The 24,930-nt window shown below is 56.1% G+C and overlaps 1 protein-coding gene across 2 annotated transcripts in view, besides 6 other annotated features; it reads left to right on the plus strand.

Moving 5' to 3' along the window:
• Positions 1 to 24,930, plus strand: part of NCS1 (neuronal calcium sensor 1) — a 64,900-nt gene that overhangs the window by 3,288 nt on the left and 36,682 nt on the right. Inside the window, exon 1 of one of the 2 annotated variants that reach the window (NM_001128826.2) lies at positions 24,709 to 24,920. The exons of the other annotated variant lie outside the window; for it this stretch is intronic. Within the exon in view, the coding sequence (NP_001122298.1) occupies positions 24,911 to 24,920 (10 nt within the window). The 5' untranslated portion in view covers positions 24,709 to 24,910. Of the gene's footprint in view, positions 1 to 24,708; positions 24,921 to 24,930 lie in introns of those variants that run through there. 2 annotated transcript variants of the gene reach the window in all.
• Positions 9,975 to 10,816: an enhancer, noted in NCBI's record as "H3K4me1 hESC enhancer chr9:132947945-132948786 (GRCh37/hg19 assembly coordinates)". NCBI's record gives its function as "activates a minimal SCP1, AML or CMV promoter by ChIP-STARR-seq in naive H9 embryonic stem cells {active_cell/tissue: H9 hESC(naive)}" and the evidence as "EXISTENCE:reporter gene assay evidence [ECO:0000049][PMID:30033119]".
• Positions 10,817 to 11,659: an enhancer, noted in NCBI's record as "H3K27ac-H3K4me1 hESC enhancer chr9:132948787-132949629 (GRCh37/hg19 assembly coordinates)". NCBI's record gives its function as "activates a minimal SCP1, AML or CMV promoter by ChIP-STARR-seq in primed H9 embryonic stem cells {active_cell/tissue: H9 hESC(primed)}" and the evidence as "EXISTENCE:reporter gene assay evidence [ECO:0000049][PMID:30033119]".
• Positions 11,660 to 12,501: an enhancer, noted in NCBI's record as "H3K27ac-H3K4me1 hESC enhancer chr9:132949630-132950471 (GRCh37/hg19 assembly coordinates)". NCBI's record gives its function as "activates a minimal SCP1, AML or CMV promoter by ChIP-STARR-seq in primed H9 embryonic stem cells {active_cell/tissue: H9 hESC(primed)}" and the evidence as "EXISTENCE:reporter gene assay evidence [ECO:0000049][PMID:30033119]".
• Positions 13,675 to 14,024: a silencer, noted in NCBI's record as "fragment chr9:132951645-132951994 (GRCh37/hg19 assembly coordinates)". NCBI's record gives its function as "represses an EF-1alpha promoter that drives an FKBP-Casp9 reporter gene in an ReSE screen in phorbol 12-myristate 13-acetate-treated (for megakaryocytic differentiation) K562 erythroleukemia cells {active_cell/tissue: K562(+PMA)}" and the evidence as "EXISTENCE:reporter gene assay evidence [ECO:0000049][PMID:32094911]".
• Positions 21,529 to 22,030: an enhancer, noted in NCBI's record as "H3K27ac hESC enhancer chr9:132959499-132960000 (GRCh37/hg19 assembly coordinates)". NCBI's record gives its function as "activates a minimal SCP1, AML or CMV promoter by ChIP-STARR-seq in primed H9 embryonic stem cells {active_cell/tissue: H9 hESC(primed)}" and the evidence as "EXISTENCE:reporter gene assay evidence [ECO:0000049][PMID:30033119]".
• Positions 22,031 to 22,530: an enhancer, noted in NCBI's record as "H3K27ac hESC enhancer chr9:132960001-132960500 (GRCh37/hg19 assembly coordinates)". NCBI's record gives its function as "activates a minimal SCP1, AML or CMV promoter by ChIP-STARR-seq in primed H9 embryonic stem cells {active_cell/tissue: H9 hESC(primed)}" and the evidence as "EXISTENCE:reporter gene assay evidence [ECO:0000049][PMID:30033119]".

Consider the following 24,930-nt stretch of genomic DNA (forward strand, 5'->3'; position numbering starts at 1 on the left):
AGGAAGCAGGAGTGTCTAAAGGCCCCAGCAGTGTGGCCCTCACTGGACACACTGGGATTCCACCTGGCTCAAACCCTAACCCAGTCCTCAGCCTTCCACCAGCAACAGGTTAGGGAGAGATGGACAGGGTCACTCTGCAGCCAAGACTTAGACAGTGGCAGTCAGCATTGCGGGCGGCCCAGTTTCTTTCAGGTCTGGCCCACTCTCTTCCAACCTGCTGGTGAGGCTGTTGGCTTCCCCGTGTGTCCCGGCTGTGGGATGGGCCGGTCCCCTCACCTACCTGAGCCTCAGTTTCCTCATCTGCAAAATAGGTGTGCTCATGGCACCTGAACTCAGAGGATGTGAGAAGTCAACAGGGTAACTCATGTGCAGTGTGGGGCCTGATATGTGGCGTGGGGTATGTGGTCAGTAAATGCCAGTGATCGTAATTAATGCTTATTTGTTCATTTTCTTTCTTTCTTTCTTTCTTTCTTTCTTTCTTTCTTTCTTTCTTTCTTTCTTTCTTTTTTTTTTTTTTTGGAGACAGGGTCTGGCTGTGTTGCCCTGACTGGAGTGCAATGGTGCAATCATGGCTCACTTAAACCTTGACCTCCTGGGTCCAAGCAATCCTCCTGCCTCAGCCTCCCCAGTAGCTGGGACCATGGGTGTACAACACCACACCTGGCTAATTAAAAACATTTTTTTTGTAGAGTTAGGGTCTTGCCCTTTTGCCTGGGCTGGTCTCAAACTCTTGGCCTCAAGCAATCCTCCTGCCTTGGCTTCCCAAAGTTCTGGGATCACAGGCCTGAGCCACCGCACCCGGCCTTAATATATATCATTTTGACCATACAATACAGCTTCATCTTGAACTGGGCTTATGTGTATTTTGTGGGCAAATTTCTTCTCTCCACAGAGGAATCTTGCTGACTCTGGTCTTTGTGCCTGGCACACAGAAGGTGACATCTATGACTGCTGTGCCTGAATCCCAGCAGGGGCCTGCTCTTACGTGTAGCGGCCTCCGCAGCCCCACTTGTGAATTGTGAAGCTGCCCTGGCCTGTTCATTAAGTGCTCACTGTGTGCCAGGCATGGAGACAGAGGAGTGGACCAGAGAGATGGAATCCCTGGCCTCAGGAGGAAAGCAGCCGGGTTATCCGAAAACTCCAGCATGGGGGTGCAAGCCATTTGTGGTGGTCTGAGCTGCATCCCCTTAAAGGCTTCTGAGGCCACTGCAGGCCCAAGCCAGCCAGGCCCAAGAGGCACAACCTCTGCCCTCCTCCCTTCTCCTTCTCCTCCCCATGATGTTTGCGGTCCTTCCCAGGGACCCTCGGTCTGGGACTCAGGGGTGGCCACCTCCTCCCTGTTGCCTTTGGTCAGCCCAGGCTCTGCCTTGACCTTGCCTGCCAACCTTGACTCTCCTCTGCCTTTTCCCTAATGCCCAGAATGGTGCCGGCACACAGGAGCAGGTGGAGGGCAGGAGCCCACGGCTGACGCCTCTGTGACCCCGAGCAGAGGACGGGTCCCTGGCTCCAGGTTGGGGTCAGCAGTTGGGTTCTTGGGTGTCTCTGGTTGTGGACTGTCCTGGGGCCCATGAGGGCCCCTTCCTCTAGGGTGAGGAATATTCTCTGATCATCACTCCCCACCCAACTCTGCTCAACCAGGGTGGGCCAAGCTGCTGCCTTCAGGAGGCAGTCACTGGAGACCATCTTGGGACAAAGCTGGGGGTTGTGTGATGGCTGCGTGGGGACATGGAGGGCCCACAGCCAGGCACAGGGTGAGCCACAAGGAGAGGAAAGGACCAAAGCAAGGGAGGGGCTTCGGCCGTCCCTGTACATCCCGTGTGCGTGGGCATGAACCAAGGAGGCCTTTCCTTTCTCTGACAGTGGAGCAGAGCAGCAGCAGGAGAGACTGAGGTGGACTCTCGGCATCGGGATGGGCATCTGGGCAAGAAACATCACCTGTGTTATTAGGAGAGGACTCGATCCCCTGCGGTGCGGGGCTGGGTCCTCACTCGGCCTTGGTGACCTTGGGGAAGTCCCTTGGCCTCTCTGAGCACCAGCTTGCTCATCCTTCAGACCTGCCTTCCAACTCCATGGATCTAAACAGGAGAAGCTTTGCAGTCCGGGGAGCGGGCCAGAAAGACAAAGGGGTTGTTTGGCAGGAGAGTCCCTGGGAGGGAAGGAGGGCTCAGGGGCGAGTTCTGCGGTTCTGGCCCCTTCCTTGGGCAAACCTCCTCTCACCGGCTTCACTTTCCGCCTCTGGAAAATGGGCAGTTTTGGAAGGCCTCAGTGTTGAGGAGGATTCGGGGCATATGAAGGGTTTAGCTTGGTGCCTGGTTCTGAGGGGAACCTTTATTTATTTATATTTTTATTTCTATAGAGATGGGATCTCGCTATGTTGGCCAGGCTAGTCTCGAACTCCTGGCCTCAAGTGATCTCCTCCCATCTCGGCCTCCTGAAGTGTTGGGATTACAGGCATGAGCTGCTGCGCCTGGCCATGAGGGGAACCTTTCAAAACTTTCCTGGCAGCAGCTGGTCCTTGGGGTGCAAGTCTTCCGCATCCAGGGCAGGTGGCCTGTGGCCACCCCCTTGTACAGAGAGGGAAGGGGCAGCTGGTGAATGGCAGGGACTCACCCAGGCCCCAGAGCCCAGCCTCCTCCTCACAGGCTCTTTTTGCCCTTTCTGCCTCCTTGGGCTCCAGGTTAAATGGGACCCAGCTTCTCCCTTCCCTACATCACCCCACAGAATTCTCCCATCACCCCGTGTCAGGGGAAAGCCCTTTTCCCCGGCAGAGGCCTTGGGATCGGACCCAGCTCCTGCTGCTCCCAAGGCCTGTCTTAAACCCCTTTGGGGCAAGGCATGGGCAGTGGAGGGGGGTGGTGTCCTGTCGAGTGGGCCGGGCCCATGTCACCCTCTGAGAGGCCACAGGAAGGAATTTGGACATTATTCGAGATCCGTAGGGAGCCGTGGAAGGGAGGTGATGGAGACACATTAGATTTGGGTTTAGAAAAATTGTTGTTGGCTGCAGTCCCGGAATGGACTGGCGGGGAAGAGGGGTGGTAATGAGACCGAAGGTGATCATGGTGATGAACTGGAGTATCGGTGGGGATGACATGAAAGACAGATTCCAGATATATTTAGGAGGAAGACTCAGTAGGACTTGGTTTCCCTCCCCTCCCCTCCCCTCCCCTCCCCTCCCCTCCCCTCCCCTCCCTTCTTTCCCCTCCCCTGCCCTCCCCTCCCCTTCCCTCCCCTTCCCTCCCCTTCCCTCCTCTTTTTTTTTTTGAAACAGAGTCTTACTCTGTCACCCAGGCTGGAGTACGGTGGCACGATCTTGGCTTACTGCAATCTCCACCTCCCGGGTTCAAGCAAATCTCCTGTCTCAGCCTCCCGAGTAGGGGATTACAGGCATCCGCCACCACTCCCAGCTAATTTTTGTATTTTTAGTAGAGACGGGGTTTCACCATATTGGTCAGGCTGGTCTCGAACTCCTGACCTCAGGTGATTCACTCACCTTGGCCTCCCAAAGTGCTGGGATTACAGGCATGAGCCGCTGTCCCTGGACTCATAGTTTTCATTACCTTGTAAATTTGGGATTATCTACTTTTTATTTTCTGACTTAAAAAAACCTGACCATTCTGAATGTTTGCCCGTATCATGAACTATGCTTTTAGAGCATGATTTTTTTTCATGGTGCATCATATGGACAGAACATATTTTATTTAATCTCCTGTCATTGGACAGTTAGCTTCCTCCTCCCATATTGAAAATACTGAGATGAACATCTTTGTACCACATCTTTGCATGAATGTCTTTGCACTAAATCTTTGCACTTATCTTTTCTTGAAGATAAGAACCCAGAACGGGGTTATGGAGTTAAAAGGCTGGGGATGTTTTGAAAGGCTTTTGATTAAAAATTGTTGAATTGCTCTCCAGAAAGGCTGTTCCAGTTTACATTTTCAGCAAAAGTAGATGAGAGAGTGCCTATTTCTCTGCATTCTTGCCAGCACTGGGTATTACTGTTTTCCTTACTTCTTGCCAATTTTATGGGGAGGAAAAGAGGTGGCTCACTGTGTCAACATTTATTTCTTTGAATACTATGAAATAGAATCCTAGTATCTTTCAGCTGGAGGAGACTCTTGGGGCCAAGTAGTTCAATGCCCTCATTTTACAAGTAGGCAAATTAAGCGCCAGAAAGGTGAAGCATCTTCCCCAAGGTCACACAGCAAATATGTGGCAGGAACTGCTTTGTTCCTGTCAGGGCACCTCCCACTGTGCCAAGGTGAGTTGGCTGTTGGGGTTCAGATAGGGATGTCTTGCCTTCTTTTTATCTATCTATCTATCTATCTATCTATCTATCTATCTATCTATCTATCTATCTATCGAGATGGAATCTCACTTCCGTCACCCAGGCTAGAGTGCAGTGGCGCGATCTCGGCTCACTATAATCGCCACCTCCCGGGTTCAAGCTGTTCTCCTGCCTCAGCCTCCTGAGTAGCTCGTATTAGAATGTGCACCACCACACCTGGCTAATTTTTGTATTTTTAGTGGAGATGGGGTCTTGCCATTTTGGCCAGGTTGGTCTCAAACTCCTAGCCTCAAGTGGTGCACCCACCTTGGCCTCCCAAAGTGCTGGGATTACAGGCGTGAGCCACCACGCCTGGCCTAGGGATGTCTTGACTTCTTCACTGAGGTCTTCTGCTGGGGTTCATCTTGCCCCAGATATCTCTAGCACTCTGGTAAGAAAAAAAGCCAATATAAATTAAAAAGCACATCATCATTATGGTCATAACAAGATGAATCAATTTTCACATTCTGTGTGTGATCTATTTTGCAGGGCAGAGAGTGTCAGAGATTACGTTGCGGCGTTTCTAGGTAACTTGAGATTGGGGTCATATTCTGACCAAGGGCAGAACGGCAGGTGCTGAGGACTTGAAGGTCAGTTCTGCTGTTTCCTGGCTGGGCAATCCTGGCCAGCTCCTTACGTCTCTGAGCTCTGAGGTCCCTTGCGCATGAGACAGGGATGTTTGCACAGGGATCTGCACGTAGTAGGTGCTCAGTAAATGCTCTCCCAGGAAGGAGGCTGCTGGACCGGCTGTATCAGGGACAGCCGTTCTTGGCCACTCCCCTGGGCAATCACAGAGTGAGCTGTCACAGGCTCTTGGCTGAATTGGGAGCGAGTGGCAAACATGGAGGGCCTCTGTGGTGGCCCGGCTGGGTTGGTGGCCGGATTGTTCTGTGTCTGGCTCCTGGCTTGGTGAGTTGGGGAGGGAGAAGGGTTGTGGCAGGCTGGCTTTTAGGCTCCTGTGCGCCCAGGGGCTCAGAGGATGGACAGCAGCCTGCCTGGGATTAAGTCCCAGGACCATCATGGCCTGGACAGTGGCTTTGGAGTCACTAGTTCCCTCTGGGACTCAGTTTCCCTTTCTGTACCATGTTCAAATTCCCAGATAGTGAGACCCAGTGGGGAAGGTACGTCAGGGCCCCAGGGACGGAGTGTGCTTGGGCTGTGGTGTTCAAGACCCAGGCCCTTGGATCTTCTCAGCCTCAGGCATGGTTCTTAGCCTCTCGATACCTTAGTTTTCTTATCTGGGGGTTGGGGATAAGGGACTTCTACTACACAGAGCCGTGTGCGGGGTTAGGAATAACAGACGTTGAACTTGGCGGCTCATCTCGGCCCTCCTTTTGCTCCTGGTGGTGGTGGAGGATCTGCGAGCTGCAGCACGGGACGGTCAGGGGCTGTCACTGCGGTGAGAATCTGGTATTAGGCATGTTCCGTGTGACCCAGGCCTGTCCTTGGTGTTCACGTGTGTTCCTCACCAATTCCACCCAGGAGCCCTGTGGGGGTCCCCTTTTTACAGATGAGGAAATGGAGGCTCAGAGTGGATGAGAGCTGGCTCATGGTCCCACGGCTGGAGAGTGGTGCCATTGGGGTCTGATCCCCGTCCCCTCTCAGCCTGGAGTCTGCACACTGAAGCCCTGGGCCGCGGTGAGGGGCCCCTGCTTGGTGGAGGTGCCAGGGAGCCGCCATGGAGGTGTGCAGGTGAGCGTGAGCGGGCCCGGGTGCCTGGTGTGGGTGTTGCAGGCAGGGCGGGTGCTGCGGGGCACGTGGGCAAGTCCCGATTCACGTGGGCACGCTCCGAGCGTGAGTGACGGGGTCATGGCGTGTGTCAGGAGTGGGTGAGCCGGGCACTCCTGTGCGCACGCGTGTGGTGGTGTGTGAGGGCAGCTCTGTACAGGTTGTAAATGTAGGTGTGCCTGGGGGTGGGGGACGCTGGGGAGGGAGGCACAGACAGGCCGGGAGCCGCGCCAAAGGCTGGGAGCTCAGCTGCCAGGTCTGGAACCAGGTGATAAGCTGCCACTCCCCAAGGCAGTAGGGGAGTATTGTGGTTGGGGGGAGATGACAGCAATGACGACCACCGTTTACCCAGTGGGCACTCGGGACCAGGAGTGCTGAGTGCTGCCCTCTCCCCAAAGCCCTGGGAGTAGGGACCCTTATACCCATTTTACAGATGAGGAAAGGGAGGCCCAGGCAAGTTCAGGGACACGCCCAAGTCCCCCCAGCCAGCCAATCGATGGCCAGTCGGGGTTCAGGCTTAGATCTTTATGTTGCCAGAGCCACGCCCTTCCCACCCGGCGCCTGCCTCCCACCGTCTCTGTGAGCCTCAAAACCTTGGAGTTCCCTGCCAAGGGGAGGGAGCGCCCAGTCCCTGGGAGCATCCAAGCCGCTGCTGGAGCATCAGACACTGGCCAGGCATCCCGGACTCCTGGGCTGGGTGTGAGGTTGGTGGCAGATAGGATCCTTCCCGCTGGTTCCAGAGGTTCTGCCTCCTGCAGGAGATTTGGGGCAGCCTCCGCCTTGCCTTCCTCCAGGAAGGAGGCAGAGTTGAGGCCTTGTGGAAAGGCGGCAGGAGGAGAGGCGCTGATAGGAGTGTGTGGCGCAGCTGTGCCCTGGCCTCAACGGCTTCCTCAGCCTCCACCCACCCCAGTGGAGGCTCAGCAGGTGCTGACCGTGTGTGGGCGCTGGGCTGATCTCAATGGTCATCCTCCCGCCCTGGGAACTTAGGAGCAACGTACCGCCATCTTACGGTGCTGGCACCACCCCTGCTCCTGGGAAGCCTTGTCACGGACAAGGTGGTGAGGACTGAGTGCCCCTGGCCATCCTGCCCTGCCCTGTGCCTGGCTCAGCCCAGGTGCCTTCGGAGGTATCTGTCCGACAGAGAAAGAGACCAAGTCCTCACAGGTGCAGTGTGGGTTTTGGGGGCATGGTGGCCAAGGGGACCCCCGTGACTTTTAGCTCCTTGAGGTCTGGGCCACATCTTGTGGTCTTTGGTGTCTGTGGGGTGTGTGGCCCGGGGTGTCCTCGCCTCTGCAGAAGGCTGGGATCTTTCCGAAGAGTTTTTCCCTGCAGTGCTGTGGTTTGCTCTCCCTGGTGACCAGGACAGGACCTGCCTGTGCTCCTGACCTACAGTCTGTCGGGGAAGGGGGACAGCCAGGGAGTTGAGAGTTGGGTCCTGGTTCCAGCCTGGCTTGCTGTGGCCTCTGGCTGCCCCTCTCAGGGCCGCAGTCTCTCCATCTGTTCCACTCTCTGTGAGATGCGATGTCACCATTTCTCAGCTCCGGGTGCCCTGACCATGCGGCTGGGGGGGGGAGCTCCTTGCCCAGGAGGGGTGCAGGGCAGTTGCTGGCTTTGGCACTTCTGAGCCACCGAGGGGGCCCCAGGAAGCTGGTGAGGCATCCAGGCCACTGTGCTCTGGATTCCCTGGCAGGGGAGCAGGGGGAGGGCAGGAGGAATGTGGCTTTGAGGAATGTTTAACCCAAGGCAGAAATAGCACTCTGCCTTTTTATTTCAGGCTTGAGTTTTCAGCAGGGAAGTGGGTTCAGTGTGCCTTTCTCTCTCTCCAGCTGTGGGGCCATGGCCACCTCGGCTCCCCCACAGCCCTAGCCTTTGGGGATGGAAAGTGGCCTCTTTATCTCTCTTTCTTTCTTTCTTTTTCTTTCCTTCTCTCTCTTTCTTCCTTCCTTTCTTTCTTTTTTTCTCTCTCTCCCTTCCTTCCTTCTTTCTCTCTCTCTTCCTTCCTTCTTTCTCTTTCTCTTTCTCTTTTCCTTCCTTCCTTTTCTTTTCCCTTCCCTCCTTCTTTTCTTTTCTTTCTTTTTTTTTTTGAGACAGAGTCTCGCTCTGTCGCCCAGGCTGGAGTGCAGTGGCATGATCTCGGCCCACTGCAAGCTCTGCCTCCCGGGTTCACGCCATTCTCTGGCCTCAGCCTCCCGAGTAGCTGGGACCACAGGCGCCCGCCACCATACCCTGCTAATTTTTTGTGTTTTTTAGCAGAGATGGGGTTTCACTATGTTAGCCAGGATGGTCTCGATCTCCTGACCTCATTATCCACCCGCCTCGGCCTCCCAAAGTGCTGGGATTACAGGTGTGAGCCACCGCGCCCGGCGTCTTTTCTTTTCTTTCTTCTGCTATGGGAAACAGAAAGAGCCCTAGACTTGGAACCAAACAGAGCTGGGTTCAAATCCTTTGCTCTCCACTTCTAGCCCTGTGACCACTTCCTTCTCTGAATCTCTGCAGAACTGGGAGAGGGATGCTGAGCCAAGATGGCTTTTCTGGTGGTCTGGTGTCCGGGGCTCCTCTCAGGGACCCACAGGCCTGGATTCAAATCCCAAGGCCTCTACTGGTTAGTTCTGGGACCTTGGTCTGGCCTTTCCCACCGAGCCCTCAGACTTCATCTGTGAAATGGGCAGATGCCTCCCAGGATTGTGGATGGCATTCATGCGAAAACATTGGTGACAGGGCCTGGCACGGCTTATCCCAGGCTTTTAATCCCTCCTGATGCATCCCCGCGCCTTCACCTATAAAACAGGAAGACAATGCCTCTTGCAGACTTTTTGCTAGGTTGGATGAGGGAGCCATGCAGCGTGCTAGGGCAGCCCAGAGGCACCTTTTCTTTCTTTTTTTCTTTTTCTTTTTTTGTTTTGAGACAGAGTCTCGCTCTGTCACCCAGGCTGGAGTGAAATGGTGCAATCTCGGCTCACTGCAACGTCTGCCTCCCAGGTTCAAGCGATTCTCTTGCCTCAGCCTCCCAAGTAGCTGGGATTACAGGCGTGCACCACCACGCCTGGCTAATTTTTTTTTTTTGTATTTTAGTAGAGACAGGTTTTCGCCATGTTGGCCAGGGTGGTCTTGATTTCCTGACCTTGATCCGCCTGTCTCAGCCTCCCAAAGTGCTGGGATTCCGTGAGCTGAGATTGCGCCACTGCAGTCCAGCCTGGGCGACAGAATAAGACTCCGAGACTCCGTCTCAAAAAAAAAAAAAGGGGCTGGGGTTACAGGTGTAAGCCACCGCGCCCGGCCATCCCAGAGGCAGGCACCTATTCATCGGACCCAGCCCTCTGCTTCCTCCCACTGGCCATGGATGGGACCCATCCTCGTCCACACTCGCATCAAAGCCCAGCGGCTACTTCCAGGGGGGATGTCCTTGGGCCCGGCCTCCTCCTCAGTCCTGGTGGTGACGACATGTTTCATAGTCCCCCTTGATTCAGCTGGGAGCTGTGAGGACCGACTGCATCTTATTGCATGACTGCGTCTCGTTGCGTGGCTGCCGGAGTAGCCCCTGCTCCTAGAACAGAGCCTGTGCATATTGTTGGAATGAATGAGAAAACAAGTACATAAACGAGCAAGCCAATGAATGAACGAAGTTCCTTCTTATCCATCTTGGGCTTTGCTTTCCGTTTCTGTCCAGCCCTCTCCTACCTCCTGGGCTGGGGGAGGGGGGTTTTCCTCCGTGGCTGGGGGATCCTGAGAAGTGGGGTGTGGGGAGGCTGGGCCCCAGCTGGCCAGGCCTCGTGAGGACCCCAGACCCTTCTCACCTGCTGGGGCTGGGGAGTTGAGGAGGGGTCCAAGCCGCCAGCCAGCCAGCAAGGCCCCTCCTCCCGGCCCTGCTCCTGCCTCTTTGTAGGAACCGAAAGATTCCTGTTCAGAGGCAGGAGCTGGGGCTATTTTTGGCACTGTGGGGGAAACAGCGAATGCTTTCCTTCTGTTCAAAAATATATGGTGTGTGTGCTGGGCAGAGGAGGAGCTTGAGAGCTCAAAGCCTGCACTGGCCGGGTTCTTGCCCCTCGGCCAGTGGCCCCACCACCCCCTGCGCGCCCAGCAGCCCACACAGCCTTGCCGGGCCATTGTTGTCTTCAGGCTTTCCGTGATGAGGCCTTTGCTGCGCCTGAGCGCAACATGATCTCAATTAAAATGAAGAGCAGCTGTCAAAATCGCTGAGCGAAGCCTGCCTAGGTGCCCCGGCCATGATTCCCCAGCTCAGGTTCTGTGGAGCTGGGGACGGCCTTGAGAAGAGATCTAGGTGCATCTCAAGGAAGGAGGCATGGCCAGCAGGGAGCAGAGGGGAGGCCCTGGGTCCTGTGGGGGGCATGTGTGGCCAAACGGGTTCCTGGGCCACCTTGCCAGCCCTCACTCCTTGATTTAGAGAATGTTTATGGAACAGCTGCCTCGTGTTAGGCCCTGCGGATGCTGGGGCCACAGGGCAGGCTGGCTGGCTGGATTTCTGGCCCTGCTGGCATTCACAGTTTGGCGGGGAGGCAGATGTCAGGCTGGGATAAGCGTCAAGACAGGGCTTTGCACAATGGACTGGGAATCTCCCTGGTCTGGGGTGCATCTGGGAGGGCTTCCTGGAGGAGGTAATATTGTAGTTGAGACCCGGGGCTAGGGTTGCCAGACATACTGAAAAATGATTTGCTGTTTACCTGATATTTGAACTTAACAGGGTATCTGTATTTTTGTTTGCTGAATTTGATAGTACTGCTTGAGGGAGATGAGAAGTTTGCGGGGAGGGTTTGTGTGGGGGACGATGAGAGTGCTTCAGGCAGCAGGAACAGCATGTTCCAGGTCAGTCCTCACCTTCCAGGGCTCCCGAACCCCCAGCCCCAGGAAGGGGTGGGAGACACAGAGCTGGTCTCCATCACAGCTCAGGCAGAAGCCAAATTGGTCACAGAAGCCACACGGTCACATCTAATGTCATGGCCAGTAGAGCAGGGAGCCCTCTGGATGGAAGCCCTGAGAGGGTCCCAAGGAGGTGTCAAGGTTTGGCAACTCTGGGGACATGAAATTGCACGGTGACTGCAGCATAGAGGGCCTGTGGCCGTGAGGGTGCTGATGGCGGGAGGGCCCTGATGGCAGGAGGGCCCGTGCTGTGCTCAGCCTGGCTCCAAGCACGAGGGGCACTGACGAGCGATTGAGCAGCTCAGAGGTGAGCTTATGTGGCCAGAAGCAGATCCGCGGAAGTCCCTTGGCCTCTCCAAGCTTCGGTTTCCTGGTTGTGGAGTGGGGTTGCTGATGGCCCCTGCTTTAGGAGGTACCTGGAGAGGCGGGGCGGGGGCGCGGGCAGTGAGTTGGTCCCTCAGAGCTGTTGGCTGACCCAGCAGGGCAAGGGCTCCGCTAGGAGGAGTGTCTCGGAAAGCAGGGGAGCAATGTGAGGCCACAGGGCACACCTGGGAGACGGGGGGCCCTGCCCAGGGAGGCACCGGCAGGTATCCCAGTCAAGGTCAGGGTCCGGCCTACAGCGAGCTCTGGCCAGGCTGATGTGTCCGAGTCTGTGCCTCTCTGTGCCCCGTCGCTGCCATCCCTGGGTCCTCCTGCTCTCTGAGCACCGTGACAAGGACCCTGATGAGTCACTCTGTGCCTCCTCCAGGAGGGCAGGTCAGGGCCGAGCCTCCACCCTCCGCTCTTAAAGGGCCAGAGCCGGAGTCAGGGCTGCTGCCTGCTGCTGGCCAGGGCTGCCTCTGCCTGGGCTCCAGCAGCAGCCCTCGCCACCCCTCCCAGCCAGTTGCCCTGGAACACATGTCCTAAAACCTCCTGTGGTCCCTGCAGGAGCCGTTCTGCCCTGGTGCAGCTCAGGGGCCAGACCTCGGTGTTTCGGAAGCAGATCCACTGCATTCTGGGAGGGGAGGTGCTGGCAGTGGCCAATGCTGGTTCCACCCCTGGTGCCACCGTTGCCCAGTCTCTGCGTCCCTGCCAATGCCATCTCCATCTATCCCTGTGTGGAGGGCCTCGCACCTTCCCTGGGGTCTCTCTTCACCTCTCGCCTCTGTTGCATCTTGGGAGCCTCACAGTGCTTCCATCCAGAGGGCTCCCTGCTCTACCGGCTATGACATTAGGTGTGACCGTGTGGCTTCTGTGAACAATTTGGCTTCTGCCTGAGCTGTGATGGAGGCCACACAGCTTTGTGTCTCCCACCCCTTCCTGGGGCTGGGGTGGGGGTCCCTGGAGGGCTAGGACTGAAGCAGGAATGTGGGGACTAGGGTGGGGGAGGCAGATGCCACATGATCCAAAGTGGGGAGATGGGGGGTGGTGGCCTGCTCGGCCTCTTGCAGTTCCTGCCCCTGTGGGGTGCCCCCGTTATTAGCCCTGGCCATCTGGTCTTGTCTTTGGGTGCTGTGACACCTATATTAATAGTAGTGGCAATTGTTAACATTTTGGGATACTTGCTGTGTTCTCTCCACCTGGACCACACCACGCTGCCTCTGGATAAGGTTTTGTTCTAGTGTGATGTGGCTTCTTGTGGTTCCTGAACTCGCCAGGCTCTGGATGGCCTCTGAGGCTTGGACCTGCAGCCTCTCCTGGAAAGCTCTGCTTCTTCTTCTTTGCCTGGCTGAGGCCTGCACATCAGCCCTTTCCTCAGGGAGCACGCCTGACCCCCTAGGCTAGGTTGGGTTCCTGCTTCACATTTCATTAATCCTGAACTTTCCTTTTTTTTTTTTTTTTGAGACGGGGTTTCGCTCTTGTTGCCCAGGCTGGAGTGCAATGGCTCGATCTCGGCGGAGCCTCCTGGGTTCAAGTGATTCTCCTGCCTCAGCCTCCCGAGTAGCTGGGATTACAGGCATGTGCCACCATGACCTAATTTTATATTTTTAGTAGAGACGGGGTTTCTCCATGTTGGTCAGGCTGGTCTCGAACTCCCGACCTCAGGTGATTCACCCGCCTTCTTGGCCTCCCAAAGTGCTGGGATTACAGGCATGAGCCACTGCGCCCAGCCTCTTTCCTTTGTTTTTCTTTTTTGAGACGGGGATCTCACTTTGTTGCCCAGGCTGGAGTGCAGTGGTGCAATCTTGGCTTGCTGCAACTTCTGCCTCCTGGGTTCAAGCGATTCTCCTGTTTCAGCCTCCCGAGTAACTGGAATTACAGGTGCCTGCCACCATGCCTAGCTTATTTTTGTATTTGTAATAGACACGGGGTTTTGCCATGTTGGCCAGGCTGGTCTCAAACTCCTGACCTCTGGTGATCCGCCCGTCTTGGTCTCCCAAAGTGCTGGGATTACAGGCATGAGCCACTGGGCCCAGCTGAGCTTTCCTTTCTTATTATGACAGATAGACAGCTGTGTGGGTGTGTGCTAACAGGGTGTGTCTCCCCTGTTGTATCAGGGACTCAGAGGACAGGAACCTGTGTCTAGGTCATTGCTGTGTCCCTGGAGCCTGGCTCAGGTTCTGACCCATTGAGTGTGCTCAGAAATTAATTGCTGGATGAAGGAAAGGGTGAAAATCCTGTTTGTTCCTTTAACCAGCCTGCAAGAAACGTATTGTGACCGCCACTATTCCCATTTTACAGCTAAGGAAACTGAGGCTCAGAGAGGTGAATTTAGTTACCCAAGGTCACTTGTCTACAGGGGCTAAAGAATGAGTCAGTTTAGACAAAGACCCTTTCTACTGAGTAGGTCAGTTGCTTCAGTGCCTTCCACAATGTCTGACCTTGGCAGTGTTTGGGAAATGCTTGTGGAATGGGACTGATCCGGATCCCTGAGTGCCGGGGTCGGCTCTGAAATGTTTGAGAGGGTCCCCACCAGGAATCTTGAGAAAACTCCACACACCCAAGATTTCCCCAGGGTCTTGGCCAGCCACGGTGGCTCACGCCTGTAATCCCAGGACTTTGAGAGGCCGAGGTGGGCGGATCACTTGAGGTCAGTAGTTCGAGACCAGTCTAGTCAACATGGTGAAACCCTGTCTCTACTAAAAATACAAAAATTAGCCGGGTGTGGTGGCGCGTGCCTATAATCCCAGCTACTCAGGAAGCTGAGGCAGGAGAATTGCTTGAACCTGCTTGAACCCAGAAGGTGGAGGTTGCAGTGACCTGAGATTGTGCCACTGCACTCCAGCCTGGGTGACAGAGCTAGAAGATAGACTCCATCTCAAAAAAAAAAAAAAAAAAAAAATATATATATATATATATATATATATATATTCCCAAGGTCTCGAAGGCCCCAAAGAGGCAGAAGATGTGGCTTACTTCCTTTTGGAAGATTCTGAGCTGAGTCTGGCAGGAAAGATGGCTTGAGCCAGGGGGTAGTTCTTGTATGTTTATGCAAGAGAGAGAGAGAGAGAGAGAGAGAGAGAGAGAATATATGTGGTCATTGGAACAAGTTCCTTTACTAGCCAGAAATAACTTTGGGTTTTAGAAAATAAAAGTAGCCCTGTCTACTTTCCAACTTACCCACCTAAAACAAGAACATGCATTCTGTGAGAACACACATACATTGAGCACCTACTATGTGCCAGATGCTACCATTTGGCTGCAACTTAGGCAGACATAGATCCTGCCCCATGGAGCACCCAGCCATTGGGGAAGGTCCAAATCGGACAAAAGCAGGCACTCACAGAGACAGAACAAAACCATTTCTCATACAGCTTCTCTGAGGCCACTGTGTACATTTTCAACTGGTTTCTTTCCATCTATTTTCTACGTATGTAACTATGGTAGGTTTTATCGCCCTTAGTTTTCTGGTGAGAAAACCAAGGGAGGTTAACCGACTTGTCCAATGTCACACAACTGGAACATGGTAGAGCCGGGATTTGAACCTATGTCAGTGCGACTTGATCTGGGTCACTCAGCCAGTCAAAGCAAGTTAACAGATCAGCAGATACTGAGGACCTTTGCCTGCCAGCACCAACGGCACTTTGTTGGGGCGTCAGAGATGCCAAAGATTCAGTAACTCTTTGACAGCGTGCGGGAGGTGGGCAGGATCATCCTTGGGGATGATATCTCCCAGCTAAAGCCTTCCTGAGCCTGGACTCTGGAGTCGATAAACCTGGCCTCCATCTCCACTCCTCCACCCCTGACTGCGTGATCTTGGTTGAGTGCTTTGCCTCTCTGTGAAACCGCAGTTTCTTGGAAGTGGGCTGGCAGGGACCCCCGCCTGTCAGCACAGGGCCTTGGGGAGGATCCCAAGGGGCTGAGAGGGAAACGGGGCTTTGATTTTGAATCTGAGCAGCTCTAAGCAGCCTCTCTCCTGGCTCCACTTCCTGCGGGAGCGGCAACAGCTTCCCATCTTGGTGTCTGCCCCAAGGCCTGGCCCTCTGACTTTTATTCAGACACCACGACTCCTCATCGGCACAGCATCTCCAGGGCGCCCACCATGTGCTGGGCTCAGTGCTTGTGATGTGTATCCTCTCGTTGGCCCCTGACAGCGGGGCAGGGAGCACGCTGACCCAGGCCACGTGGCGACTGGATAGTTGGTAGACCCATCTGTGCAAAGGCCCTGGGTGATCCCTGCTGGACTGTGTGTCCCAAGCCGAGAGCCTGGCTTTAGAGGGCCTCGGGCAGGAGAGCCAGGCCTGGGTGCAGAGCGGTGAAGAGCAGCTCCCGGGAGCTGGGGCTGAAGGTTACCTGGCCTGGCCCGAGTCTGCCCTCCGGGGCCAGGGACTCCATCTACTCGCCATTCCTGAAGACAGGCTGGGAGATCCCCCAACAGGTGAAATACCCCCCGATTCGAGTGCTCAGCCTTCCTCCCACCAGCCCGGAGGCTCTGGCATCTTTTACATGGAGGCGAGGCAGCCGTGGGGATGTAAGGAAGGGAAGTGGGGGCCGGTAGGGGGTGGTCAGAGCCTGGTCAGCTGGATGGCCGTGGGCATGGGGCTCCCCTGATGAGCCCAGGTGCCTCATCCTGAGACAGATACAGCAACAGCCCATGGCCCCCTGGGCTGTGTGAGACGCTAATGAAATGAGGGTTCAGGCTGGTGCCGGGCAGACCGCAGTCAGCACCCGATGGCGACAGTGGCCGTCACAGCTGCTCACTGCTGCACATGGCGGTCTGATGGCCCTGGTGGGCAGCCTGCTTGGAAGGGGCAGCGAGCAGAGCAGACGGGGCCCGCCCACCTTTCCTGCCAGCCGCTGTGTGCCCCAGCCCAGTGCTGGACCAGTCCTGGCTGGCACTCAGCGAACTGGGGTGGAGACAGTGACTGCCAAGGAGGCTGGGACACCACTCCCACAGTGGGGACACGTGATGGGGGGCTGGAGGGCAGAAGGGCTGGGGAACGCGCGGCGAGTGGGTCAGGGCGAGGGGCTCCTGCAGCGGCTTTGCTCAGCCAGGAGTGCCCGGGAGCTCTGGGCAGCAGGCCAGGCCTCCTTTCTGGGGCAGCTCAGGCCTGGTGCTGGGGCCCAGCTGCCCTTTAGCCAGGCAGTGGTGGCAGACAGGTATGGGATTGGGAGTGGGGGGTGGTCTCTCTTCTCACCCTGGCAGGGGCATCGAGTAATAAGTACAACAGCAGTGATGATCATGCTGACTGCCTCGTGCCAGGCAGCTCCTGCGTCTGCTGTCACGTTACTCTGAGCTTGGAGGCAGTGCCGCCGAGCACTCCATTTTAGAGAAGAGGCTGCCGCCCTTGTCCAAGGTCGAGGGTTAATGAGTCTGGGGCCCGGCCACGTTGTCTGGCCCAGAGCCTGTGCCCACCTTCCTGTCCTCACTCCAGCCCTCTCGGGGGCTGCTCTTCCTGGACACGGGGCCTGTCGTTGTGGGAAATGAGGCGCTCCAGACCCTCATTTACTTGTTGCCTGAAGGTCACTTTGTGGAGCGTGGGAGCTGGGGGGCCTGGAGGTCTCAGGAGTTGACCTCTTTCGTGGGACAGAGAGGGGAGGGTGCGTGGCCACGTTCACACATTGGGTCAGGAGCAAAGGTGGGCAGCCAGGACTCCCTGCCCACCCAGGAACACCAGCATATATCCCCGGGGCCTTCTGAAATCACCTGATGCTGCCGTGTGACTCCAGGGAGGTTCTCCCCCAGGAGCCGGTGCTGCAGTGAGTGGGGGGAGTGATCTGAGGCCTTGTGTGCTTGGGGCACCTGGAGGATTGGAGCAGCAGGTGGCTGCTTCCCAGCCCTCGAGTGTAGCAGGACCCCAGTGGGAACCCCACAGGTGTTTCACTCTCTTTTCTGTCCTCCCCACCTCCCAGTGTGCGGTACTCCATGGTTGGCACAGCTAGTAATGTCCTCTCTCACAGATGGGGAAACCGAAACCCAAACTGGGGAAAAAACCGGTCACACAGCAACGGAGTGGCAGATCCCTGGAGTCCAGGTCCCACAAGAGACCACCACCGTCTTCGCTTTGAGGAACTGCCCCTCCCCAGGGGTGGGCCCGGTGTGGGGGCAGGAGGGTGTGTGCGGCCAGCGGTGCACTCCCTCCGCTCTGACTTAGCTGTGCTGTTGCTGCCCAGGGAGGGCTTGGGGCAGAGCACCCTATTCTCAGGAGATGGTACCGAGGGGGCTCTGAGGTACTGCAGGGAGAACACAGCTGCGGGGTGCTGTGAGGAGGGGCAGGGGTGAGGCTGGAGAGGCTGGAGACGCACTGAGGCTCTGGAGGAGGGTTCTAGGAGGGGAGGAATGTGACCACATTAGGGATGCTGGCAGCTGCAGGTGGGGACTGGATGGGAAAGTGGGATGGGGTGGGGGCTGAGAAGAGGCCGGCACAGCAGCTGGGATGGTGTGGGGGCGACGTCCAGCCAGCCCTGGACAGTGGGGGCATTCTCGTATTTTTGAGGCAGCCAGGTTGGATGGGACTTGTCTGCAGTTGGTGCAGGACTGCCTGTAGGGAGATCTCTGGATGGGGACCTGGGAAGAGGCCCGGGCGATCCCTTTGGGCCACGTGGAGCCTGAGGGGCCTCTGGGCCATCGGTGAGGAGCTTGGACGGGGGTGGGGGAGCTGAACTGCAGGAGGGGCCAGCTGGGAGGAGACTGGGAGTGAGGGGTGCAGGGAGCAGAGCCGCCCCCGGAAAGCGTGTGAGCTGGGCGCTTGGAGGAGCCCTGGTGCTGGGAGATTGAGCACAGGAGAGGCGTGGGCCTGGGAGGAGCTTCTGAGGCCAGCTGCGCTTCTGGAAGGAGGACAGTCAGTGATCAAAGGTGTCAGGACCGAGGGGACTGTCTGATTTAGTAAGATGGGTCACTCGTGGCCAGGCCCAAAGGCCCCGCCTTCTATTCTTGTGCTGCTCAAACCCAAAGGCCCTCTTGCTGGTGCGGTTTTCCTTCAGCTGTGGTGGAGGGCTGGGGCCAGGTACAGAGACACTCCGGCAGCCCTCAACCCTGGAGATGGATCCAGGGCCAGGTCCGCCCCAGGAGGGATGGCGGAAGAGGCTGGATTGGCTGGCCGTCTGCCGTCCATGCCTCTAGCTGAAGCCAGCGCCGGGAGGGGGCTGCCAGCCCCTGCCTTTTGCTCCCACCATGTTTGAGCTGAGCTTCAATCAGGAGAGAGGTGTTTTGCTTTAGGGAAATCAAAATCAGACTTAACATCCTCCTGGGCTCCTGGGACTGGCTCTCGTGTTCATTCCTGGCAGACAAGGGCTGTGTGGAAGGGAGGAGGAGCTGGAGTAGAGGAGCTGGGGACCTCAGGAGCGCTGCCGGGGTGGAAAGGAGGCTGTGGGCACCGCGGGTGCTTCCTGGCTGTGGGGTACGAGCCTGGAGTCTGTGGGCGTGGGGGTGCGGCGAAGGCTAGGACCCACTCTCTGCTCTGAGACTGCAGCTGCCCTCCCCTTCTGCAGCTCTGGCTCTCTGGGGGTCAGTGAAGGGGAGTAGAGTGGATGCCCAGCCCCCCCTCTCCCAGGGCCCTGTGTCGGCTCTGATTTCTCCATCCACTCCTCAACAACCTTGACAATGGCTCTGCCTGGTAGGAGTTTATACCCCATCCTACAGGTGAGGACTTGGAGGTTCAGAGGGGTTAAGAAACTTGTTTGGAATCACCCAGGCTTCAAGTGGCCCTGACAGGATGGCACCCCAGAACTTTCCCCTGTCTGGCCCCATGGAGAGCATGGCCCATTGCCAGTTTTAAATCCTGGTTTTGGTACGAGCCTGGGCCTGCAGGCCTGGAGGCAGAGTGTGATGGAGAGAGTTCGTTTTAAAAATTGGCCAAAGCCAGATGAAATTGTGAAGGTCAATGCATGAGAAACACGTTTGAGGATGTGTTCTAAACCCAGCCCAGTGGCTGGATGACAAAGGAGGAATCAGCAGGTGTTTTTCTCTGTCCCCTGTGTGCAGGGTGCTGAGCCAGGCTCTGAGGGTGATGCTAGGATGGGCCAGGAGAAGTGTCCTGGCCTCTGCAGGCTTAGTGTCCAGCTAGGAAAATGAGGGGAAGAAGTGCTTCTGTCTCGCACTTGCTGGGTGCTGGACACTGGGCCGAGCACCAGTCCCTCCTCTTCCTGCTAGATGCCTGAGTCCCATTTTACAGATGAGCAAACCAAGGCTCAGAGATGCGGGGTCACTCATCCAAGACCACAGATCAGAGGGAGCCCTGGCCTGAAGTGCTTGCTGGGCTGGCCAAGGCCCTCTCTGGACCGCTGTACTTCACCACTGCTCCCCCAAGCCCAGCCTGTGCCCCCTTGGTCAGACCCCCGTTGGCCCTCTGTCGTGGAACCCATGGGAAGACAGACCTCATGTGAAGGGGGCTTCCCAAGGGGCCAAGGCAGGGTCGGGAGGGCCTCCTAGAAGAGGGCCATCCCAGCTGGGCTTTGTTTTTTTTTTTTTTGAGACAGTCTCTGTCACCCAGGCTGGAGTACAGTGGTGATCTCAGCTCACTACAACCTCTGCCTCCTGGGTTCCAGCAATTCTCATGCTTCAGCCTCCGTGGTAGCTGGGATTATAGGCACGCGCCACCACACCCGGCTAATTTTTGTATTTTTAGTAGAGACAGGGTTTCACCATGTTGGCCAGGCTGGTCTCGAACTCCTGGCCTCGAGTAATCCGCCCACCTTGCCCTCCCAAAGTGTTGGGATTACGGGCATGAGCCACCGCGCTCGGGCGCAGCTAGGCTTTGAAAGATGGATGGGGTTTCCCTGGGTGGAACGGGTGAGGTGAGGAAGTGTTCCTGGCAGAGCACAAAGGCCTGGAGGCTGGAACGGTCAGAGGAACTCCAGTGGGGTCAGGATGCGGGCCAGTGACCCAGGGAACAAGCTGTGCAAGGACTGCCTGCGTTCCTACCCTGCCCTGAACCCTGAGCCCTGAACCCAGAGCCCAGAGCCCAGACCCACCGAGGGAGGCAGAGGCGGAGGCCCTGTTAATTTCACATGCAGTTGGAGGCTCTGGGAGGAGGGGGAAAATGGGCCGGGCTGGGAACCAGAGCCTGGGAAGGTCACTCTGGCATCTGGGTGGAGGCTGAGGCAAAGGGAAGCTGAACCCCCAAATTGTCCCCCATCTCCCTCCCTCCCAGTGCCTGTCTTGGCGGGAACTGCTGGGGGCACAGGACCTTGGGCAGGACCCCCCAGCCCTCCTGGCATTGTGCAGTGGGGAGGGGAGGCAGGCACAGTGGTTATGGGGTGAAGAGGACAAACATTTCCCTCAACTTTTTATTTTGAAAAATCAAGAGGAACATTGATGTGGTGGTGCAGGGATGCCTCTGTGTCCTCGAGTCCCCGGCTCTGCTGCATCTGTCCCCTCTCTTTCTACATACGTGAGTGTGTATATTTCTAAACCATGTCACAAGAGGCTGCAGGCGTCTTGACCCTCACCCCTGAATAGCTCAGAGCATATCTCCAAAGCTGGGCGCGGCGTCTCACGCCTGTAACCCCAGCACTTTGGGAGGCCGAGGCGGATGGAACACTTGAGGTCAGGAGTTCGGGACCAGCCTGGCCAGCATGGTGAAACCCCGTCTCTACCAAAAATACGAAAATTAGCCAGGCGTGGTAGCAGGTGCCTGTAATCTTGGCTACTTGGGAGGCTGAGGCAGGAGAATTGCTTGAACCCTGGAGGCGGAGGTTGCAGTGAGCCCAGATCAACCATTGCACTCTAGCCCCAGCCTGGGTGACAGAGGGAGACTCCTCAAAAAAAAAGAAAAAGAAAAAGGGCATTAGCCTCAGTGCTGTTACCACCCCCACCTCATCCCCATGGCAGCACCTAATTACCAGTCCACAGTGCAGTGGCTTCCCAGCTGGCCCAGCGACAGCCATGATAACAGTTTTTTCCTGCTGATCTGGACCCGATCCAGGCATCTTGAGTTACATTTGGTTGCCTCGTCTGTTTAGACTCTTTTTTTCTGGAACAATCCTCCAACTTGCTTTGCCTTTCCTGGCCCTGACTTGAAGTGTCCTGGTCAGTGGTCTTGTAGAATGTCCCACAGCCCGGATTTGTCTGATTATGTCCTTGTGGTTAGACTCAGGTTAATTATTTTTGGCGGGAGACCTTCACGGATAACGTGCCCTTCCACTGCATCAAATTAAGGGGTACATGATATTGGGCTATTTCACGATCGAAGGCAGGGCAGGTTTGATCAAGGACGGTGGCTTTTTTTTGAATTTGTTATATTTTTTATTGTGTATTAGAAAAGATATGACCAGCACAGTCACTGGTAACTTTATGGATATTATTGCTTAGGCTGAAGCTAGATTAAGCAGGTAAGTAAAAGCAAATTGAGATGATTTCAAGAAAAATCCTGAGTGAATCACTGGACACTGGACAGAGAAAGATCTCGAAGGTGATCTTGGAAGAGTTGAGCTTCTGGGAACCCAGACACAATGGTTGAGAACACAGGCCTTGGTGATGGGCAAACCCAGGCTGAGGATGGGCACGTTCCTCTGGTCGCCTCTCCACCCCGGCTCAGCTTCCTCTCCAGGTTGGGGTGGTAGCTGCTCAGCAGGGGGCTGGGGTTTGGACAAAGGACAGCCTGACCCGTGCCAGAGCTCCCTGGCTGGCGGGAGGGCTGGGGGCAGGTGGCCAGGACCCCAGAGATGTGGGTCCTGCCTGCTGTCCTTCAAGACCCTCTGTGGCTGGGCGTGGTGGCTCACGCCTGTAATCTCAGCACTTTGGGAGGCCAAGGCAGACGTATCACTTGAGATGAGGAGCTTGAGACCAGCCTGGCCAACATGTGAAACCCTGTCTCTACCTAAAAATACAAAAATTAGCTGGCCGTGGTGGTGTATGCCTGTAGTTCCAGCTACTTGGGAGGCTGAGGCACACGAGGATCACTTGAACCCGGGAGGTGGAGGTTGCAGTGAGCCAAGATAGTGCCACTGCACTCCAGCCTGGGTGACAGAGCAAGACTTTGTCTCCAGAAAAAAAAAAAAAAAAAGGCCCTCCAAGGCCCCAGGCAGTGAAGCAGTTAGAATTGCTGGGCCCTGGCTGGGTGCCAGGGGATACCTGCCAGCCTCAACTGTTTCCTAAAGGTCAATTTGCTGCTTAAAGCATGGGCAGGACTTATCTCCCCCACCCTAGCTCCGGTTCCCTGGGGCTCGGCTGCCTGCTGATCACCCAGGGTTCTGTGGGGGGACCTTTCCAATGGGGGGAGCCCTAGTCATATGCCCTTCTCCCACCTCCCTGCTGCATCCTTGGAGTGTAGTTGGGGGTGAGGAAGGACGCAGAGACTGAGGCAGAGCCCTGGGGGAAGGCTGCTGGGAGACATGGGTGGGGGGTGTCAAGGGAGAGTGGGACTTCGGAGCTGGGGGTCCAGGGAAGCCCCGCTCTGGCACTGTGAGGCCCGCCTGAGACAGTGGCCATGCCACCCAGTTCCTGCTGTTTGTGTCGAATGCTGCCACCCCTTGCCAAGGTCATACAAGGTCATGCAGACTCAAGGAGTTGTATCCAATTGGGCCTCCATCCTGATCTCTAGGGGCACCGTCCCAGCTCTGCTGTTTCCTGGCAAAGGGACCTCAGGTGATCTCAGACAAATAAGCAGACCCATTGGAACTTCAATTCCTCATTGGGAAAACGGGGTCACACCTCCCTGTGGGGTTTTTGTGAAGCTGAGGAGCGGCAAGCACTTCAGTTTTCCCAACAATCCCATTTCACAGATGAGAAAACTGAGGCTCAGTCAGGGGAAGCAATTTGCCCAAGGACACACAGTGCCCTGTGGGGCCGGATTTGAACCCAGGCGGTCTGGTCTGGCTTTAGCACCTGTGGCCCTGAGCTCCTGGCGGTACTGTGATGGGTCGCCTGTGTCTCCAGGTTTGGGCTTTCAGCATCCGCCCCACAGCCCCAGCTGCCATCACAGCTGCCATCACAGGCAGCCAGCCTGGATCAGACCAAGGACACCTTCCCTCTCCACCCCCATGCCGAATCCTGAACCCGTTCCTGCCCCATACCCTTTGCCAAAACTTTATCTCAGAAAATTGCTTTCTTTGACTCCAGGCCCGGTGTTTCTGGGTAACTGGCATCTCCCGCTGTTGCCTTCTCTTTCTCTCTTTCTCTTTTTTTTTTTTTGAGACACAGCCTCACTCTGTCACCCAGGCTGGAGTGCAATGGTGTGATCTTGGCTCACTGCAACCTCCGCCTCCCGGGTTCAAGCGATTCTCCTGCCTCAGCCTCTAGAGTAGCTGGGACTACAGGAGCGTGCCACCATGCCTGGCTAATTTTTTGTATTTTTAGTAGAGATGGGGTTTCACCGCTTTAACCAGGATGGTCTCGATCTCCTGACCTTGTGATCTGCCTGCCTCGGCCTCCCAAAGTGCTGGGATTACAGGCGTGAGCCACCGTGCCTGACCTGCCTCCTCTCTTTTTATCTGAGGCCTGCTTGCAGACAGGTCTCTTCCTCCATCTCTGATTTGGGCTTGTGGGAGGAGAGTGCTGACCAGCACGGGGATGGAGGCATCTAGCCTGCCCAGGAATCTGGCTGCCTGGTTCTGAGCCACAGACCTAAGGTCAGGCCCTTGCCTTGCCACTTCCTGATCTCTTTGTGCCTCAGTTTCCACATTTGGAGCTGGGGCAGAGTTGTGCCATCCTCCCTCCATGCTGTCATAAGAGCCGTTGAGCTAAAGCACAGAGGCCCGCCCTGGGCGCAGATTCGGGCTTGCGGCAGGCTCTTGGTATTTGGCAGCTGTTGCGAGCTTGCTTTGAGTGGTTTTTGAAAAGTGGCTTCCTCAAGTCTGGTCAGGCACAAACAATTCAGAGACACCTCTTTGGGCTTCCTTCCCACTTCCCTGGGAATAGATTCTAGTTCCTTTACTCATCTGACCTCCACCTGACACCCCTTTCCTGTCTGTTCATGTGTTCATTCATTCATTCATTCATTCATTCATTCCACAAACCAGTATTGAGCACATTTGAGGGCCCTACGCCGTACCCTTTGCCAAAACTTTCTCTTGGAAAATTCCATTCTTTGACGCCAGGCCTGGCCTTTCCAGGTGTCTGACATCCCCAGGGATCCAGTAGCTTCCATGCCTTTATGAGTGAGTCCCCACAACAGGTCTGTGTGGCAGGTGCTGATAATATGATGCCCACTTTATGGATGAGGCGCCCAAGGCAGGGAGTGCAGGAGGAGCCGTCCCGCGCTCACACAGGCAGGGAGCAAGGGTGGCCTTGGTGGTGGTTTGGTGTTCTTGTTCGGTGACTTTAGAGAGAACATTGATTTGGTTCCAACTTGAAACGATTCTGTACTTTTCAGAAAAAGCATTTTTGTTTGTTTCATGGCTCAGTAAAGAATGGGTATGTGGGCTTGGCTCCAGGCTCAGCCGCTCTCTGTAGCCTCTTTCAGCTTTTGCTTCACGGCTCTGTTCATGTCTTGCCAGTGAAAGAGCCCGGGCTGACCACAGAGAGGGGCTGCAGGGACAGGCTGACAGGGAGGGTGGTCCACCCTTCTGCTGAGAGCTGCCCCTTTTCAGCCTAGCTCCCCCCACCCCCCCACATAGGTGGGGCAGCCGAGTGCCTGGGGAAGCCAGGGCCTTCCCTGACATCCCGTCCCCAGGGATTGAGAGATGGCAACGAGTAAGTCTTA

This window comes from Homo sapiens, chromosome 9 (genome assembly GCF_000001405.40).
Source record: "Homo sapiens chromosome 9, GRCh38.p14 Primary Assembly".
NCBI classification, from domain to species: domain Eukaryota; kingdom Metazoa; phylum Chordata; class Mammalia; order Primates; family Hominidae; genus Homo; species Homo sapiens.